The sequence below is a fragment of the Homo sapiens genome, chromosome X (genome assembly GCF_000001405.40).
Source record: "Homo sapiens chromosome X, GRCh38.p14 Primary Assembly".
Taxonomy (NCBI): Eukaryota; Metazoa; Chordata; class Mammalia; order Primates; family Hominidae; genus Homo; species Homo sapiens.
In genome coordinates this window covers 66,235,614-66,256,841 of record NC_000023.11, presented here as the reverse complement: position 1 = coordinate 66,256,841, position 21,228 = coordinate 66,235,614, and the positions used below count along the sequence as shown (strand labels likewise).

General features: G+C 37.4%; 1 protein-coding gene across 26 annotated transcripts in view; it reads right to left on the bottom strand.

Annotated features, from left to right (window-relative positions):
• The window catches only part of HEPH (hephaestin), a 106,193-nt gene that overhangs the window by 12,022 nt on the left and 72,943 nt on the right, over window positions 1-21,228 (bottom strand). For 17 of the 26 annotated variants that reach the window (NR_159802.2, XM_047442695.1, XM_047442694.1 and 14 more), the window contains 2 exons: window positions 1,701-1,807; window positions 512-737 (listed from right to left, as the gene is read on the bottom strand). The exons of 8 other annotated variants lie outside the window; for them this stretch is intronic. Coding sequence is in view for 16 of the 18 variants with exons in the window: in XM_047442695.1 (XP_047298651.1) it covers window positions 512-737; window positions 1,701-1,807 (333 nt within the window). In the remaining 2 variants the exon portion in view is untranslated. Of the gene's footprint in view, window positions 1-511; window positions 738-1,700; window positions 1,808-5,442; window positions 5,553-21,228 lie in introns of all 26 variants that reach the window. One more of the 26 variants, NR_159801.2, reaches the window with a different exon arrangement.

Below are 21,228 nucleotides of genomic sequence, written 5' to 3'. Positions count from 1 at the left end.
CACTGAGGATCTCTTCAATTCTTCCATCTATAAATTGAAACTCTTTTAAAAAGAGACTAAAATACAAGCTTTCATCTGGCTGTATTGGAATCCATTGAGAAAACAGATCCCAAATTTAGAGTGGTAAATAAATAAGATGATATTGGCAGACTAAACTCAGGGTTTTAAAATAGAGGGGCACTAAGCAGCCAGCTTGACAAGTACATTGAAGGTCATACATGTCCATTTTGCCTTCTCTAATATGTTAAAATTTTCTGGTATCGCCATGGCAATTTACAGAGTCAACTTCCTGCTTTCTGGGCACCCAATCTAACCTGGACCACATATCTGCCTTTGTATATGTAAATGTACAATAATAGGAAATGCTTCTTCTAACTCATCCCCATTTCACCTTCCCATGTTCGTGTCCTCTCTGGGATTATGTTCCCTTAGGTAGCAATAGGCCTATTAAATATCCCCATGTAACCAGTAGGGACTGCTTTGGAACAAGAGTAGGTTTTTTACTACTGACCATGCATTTTATTGCTCTCCAAGAAAGTTTCATCCTGTAGGTTAATACTGCCTGGATCCTGGGACCCATGGGTTGCCACATTTTCCTCCAAATACCAAGACTTATTTTCATCAAAAATCAAGAACAACAATGCAAATTCCCGATCCATGTCACTCCGTCCTCCATGGGGCTCCAGGATGCCCTTTTGGCAGATAGCCAAGGGCCCCACCAGGCCACTATACATGTCCTGAGGAAGGGAGGAAGTGGGAGAGAGAGAAAGAGATGGAGTTGTTTCTGGGTAGCAGTACTCCGCAGGGAGCCAGCTTCTCATACAAGCCCACTGTGCCTCTCAGCATTTCCTCATGATATCTTACATTTATAAGTACCCCACTATGTTATTTGAATTCATTCTAACAATTATCTTGGGACTCAGTTAAGATGCACTATCTGACCTATGCTTTATCTAGGCTAAACTATTTATTGATCTCTTAGCCTACCAAGCATTTTTACAACCTAGTGTTTTTTTGTGCTGTTTCCTCTGCCTGCAATGCCCTCTCCATCATCATATCCCTTATCTGATGGCATAATGTGACTCAGCTTTCAAGGCCCAGAGTACATGCACCTCCCATTGTGATGCCTTCTCCAGGTTCCCTCTTGCTCAACTAGACCATACTCTTTGAAGGTGGGAAATGTATCTTAAATTTATATCATCCAAAGCACCAAGTAAAATGCCTAAAATGTGGTAGGCACTCAATAAATGATTACTAATGGCTGGCTGTAGATGGATGGCTAGATCGATAAATCCATTTTCCAGATGAGAAAACAGAGGCAGAATGACTTATTTAAGGTCACTCTAAAAGCATGCTATAACCAAATTTGGGACTAGAACCTCAATCTCTGTACAACCAATCCCAGGTTTCTTTTGTGTTTTTTGTTTGTTTGTGTGTTTGTTTTTTTTTATAATGAGAACATGTTGCTTTATAGGATCCAAAATGAAAAGATAAGGAAGAAAATCTTCATGACAAATATCTGGTGCTACCCATTCCCTTCGTCCCTCCTCCTGTCTATTAAAATAAGTCCAGCTTTTGAAGAATGTTCCCCAAATTCTAGGCTCTAGAATCTCAGGAGTAAGCTTCTTACTACACCTGGTTAATAGCTTCTTTTTGCCAGGGAGTTTGACCCACCTCCAGGTAGCCAATCTTGTATTTACCTTGATGGGATCCACTGCAGAATAATAGATCCAGGAAACACAAGCAGAGTCATTGGGCCCAGGGCCAGACCTCTCTGGGATGTTCCACTGATAAGTGACCACCTCACCTAGAAGTGTAACAAGGAACCTCCAGTTGCACCGGGTCAGAAATTTCTCTCAACTCCCAGGTCTCCCCAAGAGGCAGTGGTGAGTGAATCCCATCTTCTTTAGGATCTTTCTTCATCATTCCTCCATCATTTTATTTTTGTGACCTTGCTCTTCTCCCTCCTGGGACACCCTCAACCTTTCTTTTCTACTTTCCCTATCCTCAAAGGCCCAGGTCCAATCCTCTAGTAAGGCAGCCTTGCTACTTTTTTTTCTCTGCTTTTAATATCATCTTTTTCTTTGCGGGGCGGGGGTGGGGTGGGGTGCTCTGCTTTGGTTTATTTTTTCCAGCTGCTATATCCTAAATGCAGTTGTTTGCACAAAGTTCTGTCTCAGTTCTCTTCTCTCTTTCCATACTCTCTCCTTGGAACCTTTAGTCACCTTTCTGACTTCAACTATGATCTGTGCATCGATGACTCTTAAATACTTAGTTCCAGCCAGACTCCCCTTGTTACTAAGCTCCAACTCCAAATATTCAATTAGATGCTGAATATCTTTTAAAGATTGTCCTGACAGCACCAGGAAAACAGATTGTATGAACTCACCTCCCTCCTTTGAAAAACCACCGTTTCCCAATCTGTGCTCTCAGTGTCTATCTAGAAATAACATTATCACTCTTTTACTTACTCAGACTCAAAACTTTAATCTTTACTTCTTCACTTTCGTAATTCAACATCTAACCAAATGGCAGGTCTTATTGATTATACCTCTACCCTATATTTTAGAACCATCCTCTTCTCCTTTCAATTATCATTACTCTTGCCCTAGTTTGGACCCTTGTTTTCTTAACTCAACCATTACAAAGCTTCCTAACATGTTTCTCTGCCTCCAGCCTTGCCCCCTCCAATTCATCTTCCAAATAATGCTATATTAATCTTTTCTAACAACTTTATTGAGATGTAATTTGCATGCCATACAATTCACCCTTTTAAAATGTTCAATTCAATGTTTTTAGTATATTACCAGAACTTTGTAACCACCACGATTCATTTTCCATTTCATTACCACCAAAAAAACTCCTGTACTGCCCTCATCCCCTAATCCACCCATCCATTCCTGCCCCACCCCACCCAAGGTAATCAATATTCCACTTTCTGTCTCTATAGACTTGTCCATTAGGGGCATTCCATAGATATTGAATTATATCATACATTTTATTTTGTGACTGAATTTTTTTATTTAATATGTTTTCATTGTCCACCCCCTTTGTAGCACATATCAATACTTAGTTGTGTTTATTGCCAAATAATAGTCCATTGAATAGATACACCATATTTTATTCATTCATTCTTCAGTTGATGAACATTTGGGTCATTTCCACTTTTTAGTTATTATGAATAGTGCTGCTATCAGCATTTGTGTACAAGTTTTTATGTGGATATATGTTTTCATTTATTCCTGAGTTGTATGGTAATGCTATGTTTAACCACTTAAAGAATTGCCAAACTGCTTTCCAAAGCACGTGCACCATTTTGCATTCTCACCAGCAACATATTAGGGTTCCAATTTCTCAACATCTGCATGAAAATTAGTTATTGTCTGCTTTTAAAAATCTTTTATTTTAGTTATCCTAGCATGTGAAAAGTGTTATCTCACTATAGTTTTGATTTCCATTTCTCTGACGGTTAACCATGTTGAGAATCTTCTCTTGTGCTTAATATCCATTTTAACATCTTCTTGGGAGCAATGTTTATTCAAATCCTTTGCCCATTTTAAATTGGGTTATGGGTTTTTTGATAATAGCATTGTCAAATAACAATGACATCAAGCAATAGTTCCTTATGGATTCTGGATACAAGTCCCTTATCAGATATATGATTGTCAAATTGTTTCACATCCTGTGGATTGTCTTTTCACTTTTTTATGGTGTCCTTTAAAGCATATTTCAAATTTTAAGGTATTTCAATTTATTTGTTCACTTGTGCTTTTAGTGTTGTATATAAGAAACCATTGCCTAATCCAAGGTTATGAAGGTTTGCTCCTTTGTTTTCTTCTAAAAGTTTTATAGCTTTAGCTTTTATATTTAGGTCTTTGACCCATTTTGAGTTGATTTTTCTGTATGTTGTGAGTTAGAGGTCCAACTTCATAGTTTTGCATGTGGATATCCAATTGCCTCAGCACAATTTATTGAAAAGACTATTTTTTTCCATTGAAAGGTCTTGGCACTTTTGTTGAAAATCAATTGACCAAAAATTAGAGGGTTTATTTCTGGATCTTCAATTCTATTCTATTGATCTATCTGTCTATCCTTATGCCAATGCCACACAATCTTGAATTCTATGCTTTGTAGTAAGTTTAGAAACCAGTAAGTATGAGTTCTCCAACTTTGTTGTTCTTTTTTAACATTGTTTTGGCTATGCCATATTAATCTTTCCAAAATCTCTCTTTGTTCATGTCATACCTTTTATCAAAGGCCTGTAATGGCTCCCTAATATTCAAATAATAAATTTCAAAAATTTCCCCATCAGCTAAGCACTCTCTAACTCAGCCCTGGCCTGCCTTTTCAGCCATATCTCTTACTCTTTCTGGTTCTGCAAAATATATACTGGTCGAACCTAACTACATGCTCACCTCTGGGCATACCTCATACTTTCACAGCTCTGTATCTTTTGTCATGTTGTTCTGTTTACATGAACTTCTCTCCAACCTCTCCATCGAGTTCAAGACTTATTCAACTGCATTCTTGGCACCTCCATTTGTCTAATTTTTATCTCAGACTCAACATATTAAAAATAAATATTTGATTTTCCCCCAAACCTTCTCCTCTTCAGTCTTCCTTATCTCAATAGATAGTGCCACCAGTTATGTAAGCCAAAAACACAAGAGTTATCTTTGATTATTATCACTCCTCACATCTCATATCCATCATCAAAATTCTGAGGGATCTACCTGAAAAGTCTATCTCATATTATCCACTTCTACCCATCTCCACTGCTACCACCATAGTCTGCGCTATTATCTTCTGGCACCTGAAAAACTACAATAGCCACCTCTCTTGTTCCTCTCATAACATATGCTTCACATAACAACAAATGTAACCTTTTAAAATACAAAGTAAACCATGCCACATCTCTGCAACAGCTCCTCACTGTGAGTAAATCTAAACAAAAATTCCCTACCATGGCTTGCGAGACTCTACATGATCTTACTTATCATTCTTTATATCTACAAACTCATTTCTTATTATTCTTCATCATTCTCAGTATGCTACAGCCACACTGTCTTCTTATTATTCCTTAAATACATTGAGATCATTCCTGTCTCAAGGTATTTACACTTGCAGTTGAAGCTGTCCTGTAACTTTCTTAATATGGCTGATTTCTATGCTACATTCAAATATCAGCCTAAATATAATTTCCTCAGAGAGCCCTGGACTGACCATAGTAGTCAAGGCTTCACTCTTGTATCCAAAATACATAAAGAACTCTTAAATTTTAACAAAATAAAAACAGCCCAATTAAAAATAGGCAAAAAAAAATTGAACGGACATTTCACAACACAAGATATAAGAATGACAAATAAACATATGATAGATGTTAAACATTATTAGCCATTTGGAAAATGCAAATCAAAATTACAATGAGATATCATTACATACCTGTCACAATGGCCTTTAAAAATCAGTGATAACACCAAATGCTGGCAAGGATGTGGAACAACTGAATCACTCACACTTTGCTGATGGGAATGTAAAATGGTTCAGACACTCTGGAAAAAAGTTTGGCAGTTCCTTATAAAGTTAAATATCCCCTTACTATATGATCCAGAAATCCTAGTTCTAGGTATCCACCAAAGAGAAATGTGAATGATGTTCACACAAAAGCTTCTACACAGCACCTGTAATCCCAGCACACTGGGAGGCCACAGTGGGTGGATCACTTGAGGTCAGGAGTTTGAGACCAGCCTGGCTAACATGGCAAAACCTATCTCTGCTAAAAATACAAAAATTAGCTTAATGTGGTGGTGGGCACCTGTAATCCCAGCTACTCGGGAGGCTGATGTATGAGAGTCATTTGAACCTTGGGGGCAGAGGTTGCAGTTAGCCAAGATTGTGCCACTAAACTCCAGCCTAAGTGACAGAGCGAGACTCTGTCTCAATCAATCAATGCCTCTATACAGATAGTCATAGTAATTTTATTAACAAGAGCTAATAACTGGATAAAATCTAAATTCCCTTTAACAGTGAAAAGTTGTACAAAATGTGGTACATTCATACCATGGAATACTACTCAGCAATAACAAATAGTAAACTATTGACACATACAACAACTTAGATGAATCTCCAGAGAATTACGCTGAGTGAAAAAGGTTAATCCTGAAGTATTGCATACTGTATTATTCCATTTATATACATAAATATATTCCATTTATATGTAGATATCACTTATGTAAATCAAAGAATATATATACATATATATGCATATTTTTTCTAGGAAAGATGTAACAATAGGAATTGAGACCAGATCAGTGGTTCAAAGAGGGCGGGGATAGCAAGAAAGTAACTGCTCTAATTCCTGATTGCGGTGGTGATTATACTAATCTATTCATGTGCTAAAATTCATACAACTGTACATCAAAAAAGTCAATTATACTGTAAGACTTAAACAACTACAGGAGTTTAGAGGTATTAATCACCGGATAAAGTGTTATAGAAGAGTTTAGGCTTGGTCTGAATCTCAAGGAATGAGGAGAGCTTAAAGAAGAGTCAGAGGTGAAAGCATGCAATTTTTTTTCACTCATACAATCAACAAAGCTGTATTGAACAAATACTACATGTTGAGTGTTGGAAAGAGTCATCAACAAAACAACATAGTGCCTGTCCTCTTAGAATCTAGTCAGGAGAGGAAACAACATACAAGTAAACCAACAAAAAAACCATGTAGAATTACAAGGTGGGATAAGTGCTATGTCCTTGAGAAGATCCCTACTCTCCTCTACCTTTTTTAATCAGGTTCCTCCTGACTCCATTCTTTTCCCTATCTGGTCCAAATTCCCTCACTGCCATGGTCAGCATTTGAACTACTCTTTTACAAATATCCTGCACTCTCATGTCTTCTTGCCTGTTACTCTATTCTACACAATGCATCCCCTTCACCACTCCCACCCCATAATAACTTCCTGTAAATCAGTGGTCCTCAAAGTTTATTTCTTCCACCAGCAGCATCAGAATCCACTTAGCAATTTGTAGAAATGCAAATTGTTGGGAATCTCTCCACACCTGAAGATTCAGAAACTCTGGGCATGGGCTCAGCAGCCTATGGGCAATCTAACAATCCCTCTAAGTGATTGTCATGTCCACTAAAGTTGGGTACCACTAACCTCCCTAGGTGTATTTTACAATCTGCCTTCTCTGATCTTAGACTGTGATGTGCTGAACACAGCTGGAGAAAACTCTACAGCCTTCTGTAGTGCTGCTTCTTCAAATTTCTATTTTCCAGTCTCAATTGTGTCCTCAGTGCTGTTTGGTTCAATAGCTTCCAATCCTGTTCCTCTGGGTGACAAGTACAAACTTTCAATACACTCCTCAAGCCTCATTTGTTCCTTACCTTCTCACTCTCAACAACTGAATTCAACTCAAATTTCACAGAATAAGAATAATATTGGCAAAAACTTGCATAGCACTTAAAATACATTAATTCAAAATCCCTATGAGACAGATATTACTATTAATTCCATTGTATATATGAAATAAGTAAGGCTTCAGCTCATAGATATTATATCACTTTCTGAAGATCACACATCATAGCTGAAATTTGAGCCCATGCAGTCTATCTTGAAAATTCCTTTTACCACTACTCTACAAAAGCTCTCATCCTTTAAAATTCCATTCCTTATCCATGTCTACCAAGCCCTTGAGCCTCAGAGGGGGAAGTGTTTCTACTCACGTGGGTCCTCTATACTGTTCATCAGTCTTATTCCATTTCTCAGAAAAGTTTGTTTTTCTACCCTTTGAATCAACAATTTCATACATTTTTTCCTTTTCTTCAAACCTCCTACACCAGCACACCCACCTCCACAACACTGATGGCCTTTACTTAGATATGAATAAGAAAATTGAAACCATCAGAAAAAACTCTCATCATACTATTGTAAAATCCGCAAACTTCTCTCACTATACAGTAGTCCCCTCTATCCAAGGAGGATACATTCCAAAACCAGTGGAAACCTGAAAGCACAGATAGTACTGAAGCCGATTACTGTCAATTGAAACACATTTCTGTTTATATCTTCCACCCACAAATGTAATGCCTTTTTCATCTTAACTAAGCACTTATCATACATTGTGGCCATAGCTTTTGTAGTTTGAAGTGCTACAGAAAAACCTGCATGAATTTATTTTTCCTTCTTCACAATTGCATAGATAGAATATTCATTCTTACCATCAATCTTAGCAACCTCAGCATACAAGTTTTTTCATTATTAATTCAAAAACTTTCACCTTTTCACTAAAAGAAGCACTTTACGGCTTCTCTTTGGCACATACAAATTGCCAGCATCATTACTCTACCACTTTGGGGCCTTTATTAAGTAAAATAAAAGCTACATTAACGCAAGAATTGCAAAACTGTGACAGTTGATCTGGTAACTGAGACAGCTAAGTGCCGAATGGGCAGGTGGCATATCCAGTGTGGATATGCTGGACAAAGGAAACATTCTCATCCCAGGTGGGATAGTATGAGATGTTATCACACCACTTATACAAAGTTTAAAACTTAAAAATGGTTTATTTCTGGAAGTTTTCATTTAATATTATCAGATTATGATTGAACATGAATAATTGAAAGCATAGAAAGTGAAACCAGGAATGAGGTGGTACTACAGTACTAGAGCATGTTGATCTAGCAAAGAGGGAGAGACTGATAATTAGGTGGGAGAGAGAGAGAGAAATAATAACCATAGGACTTAGGTAAGTAAAAAAATGGAGAGGGAATGGGGTCCAGAGTATGAATGATAGGAATTAATATTTAATGAGAGAAAAGATGCCTTATTATTTGTAACTGGATAAAAGAAAGGGAAGATGGTGCAAATCAGAGGAGTTTTCAGTGCTGTCCAATACAGTAGTCACATGTGGCTAATATAACTGAGGAACTTAATTTATAATTTAGTTTAATTATAATGAATTTAAGTTCATACAGCCATATGTAACTGGTGGCTATGGTATTGGACAGTTAGCCCAAACTATGCAATTTAAAAAACCTTCCTTAGTCACACATTTCTATCGAACTACAATATCCCATTTTTCAATACCCTTTAAAACAAGCCTTGAGAAAAGTTGTTGATACTCCCTATTTTCATTCCCACAACTCCTTTTTACTTTTTGGTTCATGTAACTTGACTTTTGTTCCCACTATATCACTGATGTAATTACTTATAACAGCTGCTTAAGTATGCTTAAAGAACTGAAAACATAAATAAAAAGTAAAGAAAAACTTAAAACCATATCTGAACAAAATTCAAATATAAATAAAGATATGGAAATAAAAAGGAACCAAACAAATTCTGGAATAGAAAAGGAGAATTGAAATTTTAATTCACTAGAAGAGTTAAACAGCAGATTTGAGCAGGCAGAAGGCAGAATCAGATAACTTGATGATAGGACAATGGAAAATATCTAGTATGAGGAGCAGAAGGAGAGAATAATGAAGAAAAGTGAACAGAGCATAAGGGACCTGTAGGACAACATCAAGCGGATTAATATATGTATTATGGAAGTCAAAGAAGGAGGAGAGAGAAAGGAGAAAAAACATCTGAAACAATAATGGCTAAAAATGTCTCACATTTGACAAAACATGTAAATCTACACATCCGAGAAGCTCAGCTGACTAAAAGTAGGATTAGCAAAACTCTACCCACACCAAGGCACATTGTAATTAAACTATTTTAAAAAAGACAAAGAGAACCTGAAAAGATGCAAAACAAGATTTGTCACAGAAAAGAAATTCTCAATAAGATTAATAGCCAATTTCTTCTCTGAGACCATGGAGGTTAGAAATAAGTTAACTGACATATTTAAAGTGCTGAAAGAAAAAAATACTCGTCAATAAAGAATTCTATATTTGACAAAATGACCCTTCAAAAATGAGAGGGTGGGAGGGGCCAATATGGCAGAATAGAAGCAGCTCATGTACTCCACTCTCACAGAGAAGAAACAAAAAGTTTAATAAACACTGGCCCTGAAGGCCAATCAACAGAGAAACCATGTCAGGATTCATCAAGGTAGCAGGGCTACAGAAATCAGAGAAGAGGGAAGCTGAGCACCAGCCTGTATGGGCACAGCAAAGAGCCAGAAGAACCTCTCCAACAGGGGAAAGGTGAGTAAGTGAGAATCTTCTGGGATACTCACATCCTCCACAGGAGCCTATGCAAGACTGGGAACAGCAGAATCACCCTGGCCCCCACACACTGCCCCCACCATGCTTCTAGACTGAGGCAGAGGACCACCTGGATGCTTTGCAGGGGAAACTCTTGACTCCAAGGGAAACTCTACAAGTCTTAGGCCACAGAATAGACCAGCACTGACACCACAGCCCCAATAAAGACTAAAGTCATGGTGCCTAGAAGGAGTAAGATTGCTCTACTGCCCCTCATCAGACAGGGCTTAGCACCAGCTTCTGGCACAATGGTCTCACTTCTACCTAAACTCAGCCAACATCTGTAGCCCCCTGCTGTCTTAAAAAGCACCCAGATGGCAGAAAGGGCAATCCCACCCACTCCTGCCACTGGTAGCCAGGCAGGTAATGCCTGCTAGATTTTCTAACCCAACAGTCTCACTTCTGTCTGAACTCAGTCCTATTCAGCTTCCTGTTTTCCCAGGAAACACCCAGACAACAGGGCAATCAATTCCATCCACCTCCACCTCTCATGGACAGACAGGCTACACCTGCTAGAGCTTCCAACCCAGCAGTCCCACTTCTGCTGGGACTCTGTGGGCAGGCACAACCCCATGTTCCCCCAGGAAATACTCCGACAGCAGATTACAGCTGACCCGGCAAGGACATGGCCTGTCTGCAACTGCAGCCTCTGCCTGAGGGAGCTTCATGGACAAGAACACCCAACAAAAGAAACATAGGCACAGAGACAGTAATCAGAGGGAGTTATTTAAACACCAAGGAGTAGACTAGAATCAAAACCATTCTACTCAGTTTCCATGTAGTTGAGCGGTTTTGAGTGAGTTTCTTAATCCTGAGTTCTAGTTTGATTGCACTGTGGTCTGAGTGATAGTTTGTTATAATTTCTGTTCTTTTACATTTGCTGAGGAGTGCTTTTCTTCCAACTATGTGGTCAATTTTGGAATAGGTGTGGTGTGGTGCTGAAAAGAATGTATATTCTTTTGATTTGGAGTGGAGAGCTCTGTAGATGTCTATTAGGTCCACTTGGTGCAGAGCTGAGTTCAGTTCCTGGATATCCTTGTTAACTTTCTGTCTCGTTGATCTGTCTAATGTTGACAGTGGGGTGTTAAAGTCTCCCATTATTATTGTGTGGGTATCTAAGTCTCTTTGTAGGTCTCTAAGGACTTGCTTTATGAATCTGGGTGCTCCTGTATTGGGTGCACATATATTTAGGATAGTTAGCTCTTCTTGTTGACTTGATCCCTTTACCATTATGTAATGGCCTTCTTTTTCTCTTTTGATCTTTGTTGGTTGAAAGTCTGTTTTATCAGAGACTAGGATTGCAACCCCTGCCTTTTTTTGTTTTCCATTTGCTTGGTAGATCTTCCTCCATCCCTTTATTTTGAGCCTATGTGTGTCTCTGCACATGAGATGGGTTTCCTGAATACAGCACACTGATGGGTCTTGACTCTTTATCCAATTTGCCAGTCAGTGTCTTTTAATTGGAGCATTTAGCCCATTTACATTTAAGGTGAATACTGTTATGTGTGAATTTGATCCTGTCTTTATGATGTTAGCTGGTTATTTTGCTCATTAGTTGATGCGGTTTCTTCCTAGCCTTGATGGTCTTTACAATTGGTCCTCAGTTGGCCTATTTTTCACATAAATGGAAGTTTTCTACACATAATGTTTCATAATTTGCTTTAATAATATGTATAAATGACTTTCTATGTACTAAAATATTTTTAAGAGGATCACTTAAAAAAAAAAAAACATTCTACTGAACCCACCTTGCACCACAATCAAATCCCCAAGGGAATCAAAGAATATAAAAGCAAGAAAAACTTATCTGAAGGACAGCAACTTCAAAGACTGAAGGAACATCAGCCTACACAGATGAAAAAGAATCAGCACACAAACTCTGAAAACTCAAAAAGCTAGAGTGTCCTCTTACCTCCAAATGACCACACTAGTTATCCAGCCATGGTTCTTAATCAGGCTGAAATGGGTAAAATGTCAGAAATAAAATTCAGAGTATGGATAGGAATGAAGATCAACATTCAGGAGAAAGTAGAAACCCAATTTAAAAAAATCTAAGGGATATAATAAAATGATATAGGAGATAAAAGAAAATAGGCATTTTAAGAAAGAACCAAGCTAATCTGATAGAGCTGAATAATTCACCTCAATAATTTCATAATAAAATTGCAAGTATTAACAGCAGAATCAACCAAGCTGAGGAAAGAACCTCAAAGCTCGGAGACTAGTTCTCTGAAATAACCCATTAAGACAAAAATAAAAATAAATGAACAAAATCTCTGAGAAATATCAGATTATGTAAAGATACCAAATCTATGACTCATTGACAACCCTGAAAAAGAGAGAGAGCAAACAACTTGAAAAACACACTTGAAAATATCCATGAAAATTTCACCTAGCTCACTTGAGAAGCCAGCATTCAAATCCAGGAATTGCATAGCACACCTGAAAGATACTATACAAGATGACTATTCCTAGTGTGCATAGTCTTCAGTTTTCTTCAAGGTCAAAATAGAGGAAAAAATGTTAAAGGCAGATAGAGGAAAGGGGCAGGTCACCTACAAAGGAACCCCATTGGGCTAACAGTGTACTTCTCAGCAGAAACTCTACAAGGCAGAAGAGACTGGGGGCCTATATAAAGCATCTTTAAAGAAAAGAAATTCAAACCAAGAATTTCATAACCAGTGAAACTAAGCTTTATACAAGAAGGAGAAATAAGATCCTAAGATCCTTTTCAGGCAGGCAAATGCTAAGGGAATTAGTTATCATCACACCTGGCTTACAAGAGGTCATTAAGGAAGTGCCAAACCTGGAAAAGGAAAGACCCTTACCAATGACCACAAAAACATGATTAAATACGTAGACCATTGACACTATAAAGAAAGCACACAATCAAGTCTGCATAATAACCAGGTAACAACACAATGACAGGATCAAACCTACATGTATCAATATTAACCGAATGTAAACTGGTTAAATGCCCCAATTCAAAGGCACGAAGTGCCAAGTTGGATAAACAAGCAAGATTCAACTGCATGCTGTTTAAAAGAGATCCATATCATATGCAATGACACCCATAGGGTCAAAGTATAGAGATGGATAAAAATCCACCAAGCAAATGGAAAACTGAAGAAAGCAGGAGTTGCTATTCCAATTTCAGACAAAACAGACTTTAAACCAACAATGATCAAAAAAAGACAAAGAAGAGCATTCCATAATGGTAAAGGGTTCAATTCAACAAAAATACCTAACTAGCTTTTTGATCCTTAGCCTCCTGGCATCCTCCACCCTCAAGTACACCCTGGTGTCTATTGTTACCCATAACTTTGAGTACACGTTTGCTTGTACTCTAAGTTTAGCTCCCACTTATAAGTGAAAACATGCAGTATTTGGTTTTCTGTTTCTGCATTAGTTCACTTAGGATTATGGCCTCCAGTTCCATCTATGTTTCTGCAAAAATATGTCATTCTTTTTCATGGATGCCTAGTACACCATAGTGAATAGTACCACTTTTTATTATTCAATACACTGTTCATGCTATCATGAAAAGTGCTGTGATGAATATGCACGTCAGGTGTCTTTATGATAGAATTATTTGTATTTCCTTGGTTATATACCCATTAATGAGACTGCTGGGTCAAACAGTAGTTCCGTTTTAAGTTCCTGGAGAAATCTTCAAACTGCTTTCCACAGTGACTAAACTAATTTACATTTCTGCCAGCAGTGTATGAGCATTCCCTTTTATCCACAATCTCATTGGCATTTGTTGGTTTTTGACTATTTAATAACAGCTGCTCTGACAGGTGTGAGATGGCATCTCATTGCGGTTTCAATCTGCATTTCTCTAATAATTAGTGTTGTTGAGAATTTTTTCATATGCTTGTTGGCCACAGAATATAACGTCTATGTCTTCAAGAAGTATCTGTTCGTGTCTTTTGTCCATAGGGTTGTTTGATTCTTGCTTGTTGATTTGTTTAAGTTCTTTATAGATTCTGGATATTAGACCTTTGTTGGATGCATAGTTTGAAAATATTTTCTCCCATTCTGTAGGCTGTCTGTTTCCTTTGTTGGTAGTTTATTTGGTACAGAAGCTTTTTAGTTTAATTAGATTCTACTTGACAATGTTTGTTTTTGCTACAATTGATTTTGGAGTATTTCTCATAAAATCTTGCCAAGGCCTATGTGCATAATGATATGTCCTAGGTTTCTTCTAGGGTCTTTATAGTTTTAGGTTTTACATTTAAGTCTTTAATCAATTTTGAGTTGATTTTTGTATATGATTAAAGAAAGGGTCCAGTTTCAATCTTCTGCATATTGCTAGTCATTTATCCCAGCATCATTTATTGATTAGGAACTTCTTTTCCCATTCCTTGCTTTTGTCATATTTAAAAAAGATCAGATGGTTCTACATGTGCAGCTTTATTTCTTCATTCTCTAACCTGTTATATTGGTCTATGTGTCTGCTTTTGTACCAATACCCCACTGTTTTGGTTAATATAGCCTTGTAGTATAGTTTAAAGTTGGGTAATGTGATGCCTTCAGTTTTTTTTTTTTTCTGCTTAGGATTGTCTTGCCTACTCAAGCTATTTTTTGGCTCATATATATTTTAAAATAGTTTTTTTTCTAATTCTGTGAAGAATGTCCTTAGTGGTTTGATAGGAATACCATTGAATCTACAAATTGTTTTGGGTGGTATGGTCATTTTAACAATAATGATTCTTTCTACCCATGAGCATGGAATCCTCTTCCATTTGTTTATGTCATCTCTGATTTCTTTGAGTGGTGTTTTGTAATTCTGTTACAGACATCCTCCACCTCCCTGAATTGCTCTATTCCTAAGTATTTTATTCTTTTTGTGGCTATTGTGAATGAAATTTGGTTGAATGTCAAGTTTATGTCCCAAATATCTTTGTTAATATTATCTCTTGATAATCTGTCCAACATTGTCATTGGGGTGTTGCAGTCTCCCACTATTATTGTTTGGTTATCTAAGTATCTTCATAGGTCTCTAAAAACTTGTTTTATCAATCTGGGTGCTCCAATGTTGAACGCATTTATGTTTAGGATAGTTATGTCTTCCTGTTGAATTAAACCCTTTATCATTATATAGTACCCCTGTTTGGCCTTTTTGATTGTTGTTGGTTTAAAGTCTGTTTTATCTTGAATAATAATAGCTACCTCAGCTCTTTTTTGTTTTCTGTTTTCTTGATAGATCTTCCTCCATCACTTTACTTTGATCCTATGGGTGTCATTGCATGTGAGTTGGGTTTCTTGAAGACAGCATAGAATTGGGTATTGCTTCTTTATCCAACTTGCCACTCCATGCCTTTTAATTGAGGTGTTTAGCCCATTTTCATTCAAGGCCAATACTGATATGTGGAGATTTGATCCTATCATCATGATGTTAGCTGGTTTTTATTTAGGCATGATCCTATAGTTGCTTAATAGTGTCCATGGACTATTCATGTAAGTTGGTGTTTGTCGTGGATGGTAGTGGTTTTTTATTTCCATGTTTAGCACTTCCTTAAGGACCTCTTGTGAGACAGGTGTGGTGGTAATGAATTCCCTTAACAAATGCTAAGTGCTTGTCTATATTTTTAGTAGAGATGGGGTTTCTCCAAGTTGGCCAGGCTTATTGCAAACTCCTGACCTCAAGCAATCTGCCTGCCTTGGCCTCCCAAAATGCTGGGATTACAGGCATGATCCACTGGGCCTGGTGTAATATTTTTTCTTTTATGTTGACCTTGCAGGATCTGATGACTATGTGTATTGGGGATGTTCATCCTGAAGTAATTTATTTAACATTTTTTGTAGTATAGGTATGTAGGGAATGAATCCTCATAGACTTTTCTTTCTGAAAATGTTGTTTGTGTTTTCTTTTTATTTTCAGTGTACAGAATTCTGAGTAAACTATTTTTTCTTTCAGCATGTAAAAGATTTTTGTAACATTAACTTCTGGCTTCTGTGGCTTCTGATGAAAAAATTGCTATAACTTTTCTTTCTATATTTCATTTTATTTTCTCTGTTTTTTTAAGATTTTCTGAATGTCTTTGGTTTTCAGTAGATTTTACGTTGTATGTCTGGGGTGGGTGCATTTTTTTTTTTTTAATAATTAGCCAAGTTGTGGTGCTTTGAGTTTTTTGAGTCTGTGGTTTAATATCTGTCAACAATTTTGGAAAATTATCAGCCATTTTATTTGAAGTCTTTCTTCTGTCACATATTTCTTTTCCTTATACAATTAGAATTGCATTTATATTAGGGAGTTTGATATTATCCCACAGATCCTGGATGATATATTTCATTTTCTTCCTTTTCTTTTTCCTAGTGTTTCAGTTTGGACGAGTTTTATCGACATATCTTTAAGGTCACTAATGATTTTCTCAGCTGTGTCAAGTCTCCTGATAAGGCCAATAAAGAGACTATATCTATTATTGTGTTTTTAATTTCTAGCATTTCCATTTTATTCTTAGAGTTTTAATCTCTCTAATGAAATTACCCATCTTATTTTGCAGGTGGTTCACCTTTTCTATTAGAGCCTTTAACATTTTAATCATAGTTATTTTTACTTCCCTTTCAGGCATTTCCAACATCTATATCATTATCAGAATCTGGTTTGTTTGATGTGTTTGTTTCTCAGGAGTATGGACTGTATTATTCTATTTATATGCCATTGTGAAGAAGATAAAGCTTAGAAACGTAGAAAATAGTGGCAGTGTTTACCAAGGGTGACGAAGGTGGGAGAAGGGCTTGACAACAAAGGGACAGCATAAGGGATAATTGTGAGGTGATTTAATTTTTATCTTGATTGTTATGGTAGATATATGACTCATTTTGTAAACTCATAAAAACACTACATTATGAGAGAATTTTACTAAATATAAAGTTTTAATTTAAATTTTAAAAATCTTAGAAGAGTGTGTCCTTTCTGCTCTGGAACCATAGGATTTGGCCAGGCCATGCTCTATGAGGTCAGGGTCTAGATCCTGCTTGGTTTCACATTTTTCTCTGGCTGAGAATCATGCATATCTTCACATGATGAAGTAGAACAACAATTAAAATATCTAGGACCCCAAAATGATTATGTGAAAGTAATTATCACATAGAGGATGGTCTGTTCCATTTATGAACAAGAAATCTTAACCATTTATAAACACTTGTTAAGTAAAGTGGCTGACCAGACACAGCCAGGTGGAACAGATGCCACTGAGGTACTGACACAAATGGCATGCTCCTAAAAAGTATTCAAATGGAAGATACTGAGAATAGATGGAAGGAAGACACAAAAGCTGGGTTGAAGGGGGAAGACTCTGGGGACTCTACAAGGGGCTACCATGCACTCGGACTTATTCCTGGTCCCCAACAAATTAAGGGGAATGGGTGAGTTGAACCGACAAGGAGCAACCTCCTGTCACCACGGGCCTCTGAAATTCCAACAGAAAGAGACCCTTCAACCACCAGGGATACTGGATGTTGGGAACAGGCCCCAAAAATCTGGCCATAAACTGGCCCCAAAACTGGCCATAAACAAAATATCTGCAGCACTGTGATGTTCATGATGGCCATAACACCCACATTGGAAGGTTGTGGGTTTACTGGAATGAGGGCAAGGAACACCTGGCCCACCCAGGGCAGAAAACCACTTAAAGGCATTCTTAAACCACAAACAATAGCATGAGCGATCTGTGCCTAAAGAACATGCTCCTGCTGCAGATAACTAGCCCAACCCATCCCTTTATTTTGGCCCATTCCTTCATTTCCCATAAGGGATACTTTTAGTTAATCTAATATCTATAGAAACAATGCTAATGACTGGCTTGTTGTTAATAAATACGTGGGTAAATCTCTGTTTGGGGCTCTCAGCTCTGAAGGCTGTGAGACCCCTGATTTCCCATTTCACAGCTCTATACTTCTGTGTCATCAGTTTCTCCAAGGTCAAAATAAAAGAAAAAAATGTTAAATGCAGCTAGACAGAAAGGGCAGGTCACCTACAAAAGGACACCCATCAGACTAACAGTGGACCTCTCAGCAGAAACCCTACAAGCCAGGCAATGTTCAACATTCTTTTGTTTGTTTGTTTGTTTGTTTTGACAGGGTCTCACTTTGTCATGCAGGCTGGAGTGCAGTGGCATGATCATAGCTACATGCAACCTTGAATTCCTGGGCTCAAGGGATCCTCGCACTTCAGCCACCCAAGTTCAACATTCTTAAAGAAAATAAATTGCAACTCAGAATTCCATATCTGGCCAAGCTAAGCTTCATAAGCAAAGGAAAAATAAGATCCTTTTCAGATAAGCAAATGTCAAGGGAATTTGCTCCCACCAGAACTGCCTTACAAGAGCTCCTGAAGGAAACACTAAATATGGAAAGGAAAGACCATTACCAGCCACTCCAGAAAAATACTGAAGTACACAGACTAATGACAACATAAAGCAACCACACTAACGAGTCTGCATAATAACCAGCTAATATGATGACAGATTCAAATCCACACATACCTATACTAACCTTGAATGTAAATGGGCTAAAGGCCCCCATTTAAAAGACACAAAGTGGCAAGCTGCGTAAGGAACCAAGACCCTGTTGGCATGCTGTCCTCAAGAAACCTATCTCACATGCAGTGACACCTACAGGCTTAAAATAAAGGGATGAAAAAAATCTACCAAGCAAATGGAAACACAAAGAAGCAGGGGTTGCAATCCAAGTTTCTGACAAAACAGACTTTAAACCAACAAAGATCAAGAAAGAAAAGGTATTACATAATAGCAAAGGGTTCACTTCAACAAGAGCACCTAACTATCCCAAATATATATGCATCCAACACAAGAGCACACAGATTCATAAAGCAAATTCTTAGAGACCTTCAAAGATACTTTTAGACTCCCACACAATAACAGTGGAATACTTCAACATCCCACTTACAGTATTAGACTGATCACTGAGGCAGAAAATGAACAAAGATATTCAACATGTGAACTCAGCACTGGATAAAATGGACTTGATAGAAATCTACATAACTATCCACCCAAAACAACAGAATATGCATCCTTCTCATCACCACATGTACATCAAAATCAACCACATAATCGAACACAGAATACTGCTAAGCAAATGCAAAAAAACTGAAATCATAACAGTCTCTCAGAACAAAGTCCAATCATATTAGAAATCAAGACTAAGAAATTCACTCAAAACCATACAATTACATGGAAACTGAATAACCTGCTTCTGAATGACTTTTTGGTAAATAATGAAATTAAGGCATAAATCAAGGCCTTCTTTGAAACCAGTGAGAACAAAGGTGCAGCATTACAGAATCTCTGGGACACAGCTAAGGCAGTATGAAGAGGGAAAAGGAAAGTTTACAGCACAAAATGCCCACATCACAAAGTTGGAAAGATCTCCATTTAACAACCTAACATCACAACTAAAAGAACTAAAGAAGCACAAGAAAAAAACAATCCCAAAGCTAGTAGAAGAAAAAAAAAAATCAGAGCTGAACTGAAGGAGACTGAGAAACACAAACACACACAAAAAAAAATTCAAAAGATTAATGAATCCAGGGGTTTGTTTTTTGAAGTAACTAATAAAATAGACTTCTAGTTAGATTAATAAAGAAGAAAGAAAGAATATCCAAATAAACACAATTAGAAATGACAAAGGGGATATTACCATTGACCCTACAGAAATACAGATAGCCAACAAAGAATATTATTAACACCTCTATGCACATAAACTAGACAATCTAGAGGAAATTGATAAATTTCTGGACATATACGCCCTCCCAAGACAGAGCCAGGAAAAAATTAAATTTCTGAACAGGCCAATAAAAAGCCCTGAAGTTGAATCAGTAATAGCCTACCAGCCACATCCTCCATAAAAAAAGAGCACAGGACCAGACAGATTCACAACCCAATTCTACAAGGTGTACAAAGATCTGCTACCATTCCTACTAAACCTATTGCAAAAAAATGAGAAGGAGGGACTCCTCCCTAACTCATTCTACGAGGCCAGCATCACCCTGATACCAAAACCCGACAGAGACACAACAAAAGTAGAAAACTTCAGGCCATATCCTTGATGAACACTGATGAAAATATCATCAACAAAATACTGGCAAACCGAATTCCACAGCACATCAAAAGGCTTATCCACCATGATAAAATTGGCTTTATCCCTGGGATGCAAGATCAGTTCAACATATGCACATCAATAAATGGGATTCATCTCATAAGCAGAACTAAAGACAAAAACCACATGATTATCACAATAGATGCAGGAAAGGCTTTCAGTGAAATTCAACACTCCTTCATGTTAAAAACTCTCAATAAACTAGGTAATGAGGTAACATATCTCAAAATAATAAGAGCCATCTATGACAAACACACAGCCAACATCATACTGAATGGGCAAAAACTGGAAACCACCTTTTGTCCCTTGAAAACCAGCACGAGAAGAGGATGCACTCTCCCACAACTCCCAATCAACATAGTATTGGAAGTTCTGGCCAGAGCATTCAGGTAAGAGAAATAAAAAAAGGGAATATGAATAGGAAGAGAGGAAGTCAAACTATCCCTGTGTGCAGGCAACATGATCCTATATCTAGAAAACCACACAGTGTCAGCCCAAAAGCTCTTAAGCTGATAAGCAACTTCAGCAAAGTCTCAGGAAAATCACTAGCATTCCTATACACCAACAACAGTTAAGCCACGAGCTAAATCAGGAATGCTATTCCATTCCATTCCATTCCATTCCTAAAACACTGCCAAAGAAATCAGAGATTATACAAATGCAAATATGGGATCATGAATAGACAGAATCAATATCACTAAAATGGCCATACAGTCCAAAGCAATGTATAGATTCAATGCTATTCCTATCAAACTACAGATGCCATTTTTCAAATAAATAGAAAATACTATTTTAAAATTCATGTGGAACCAAAAAGAGCCCAAATAGTTCACCAAAGCAAAAAGAGCAAAGCTGGAGGCATCACAATACCTGATTTCAAACTATAC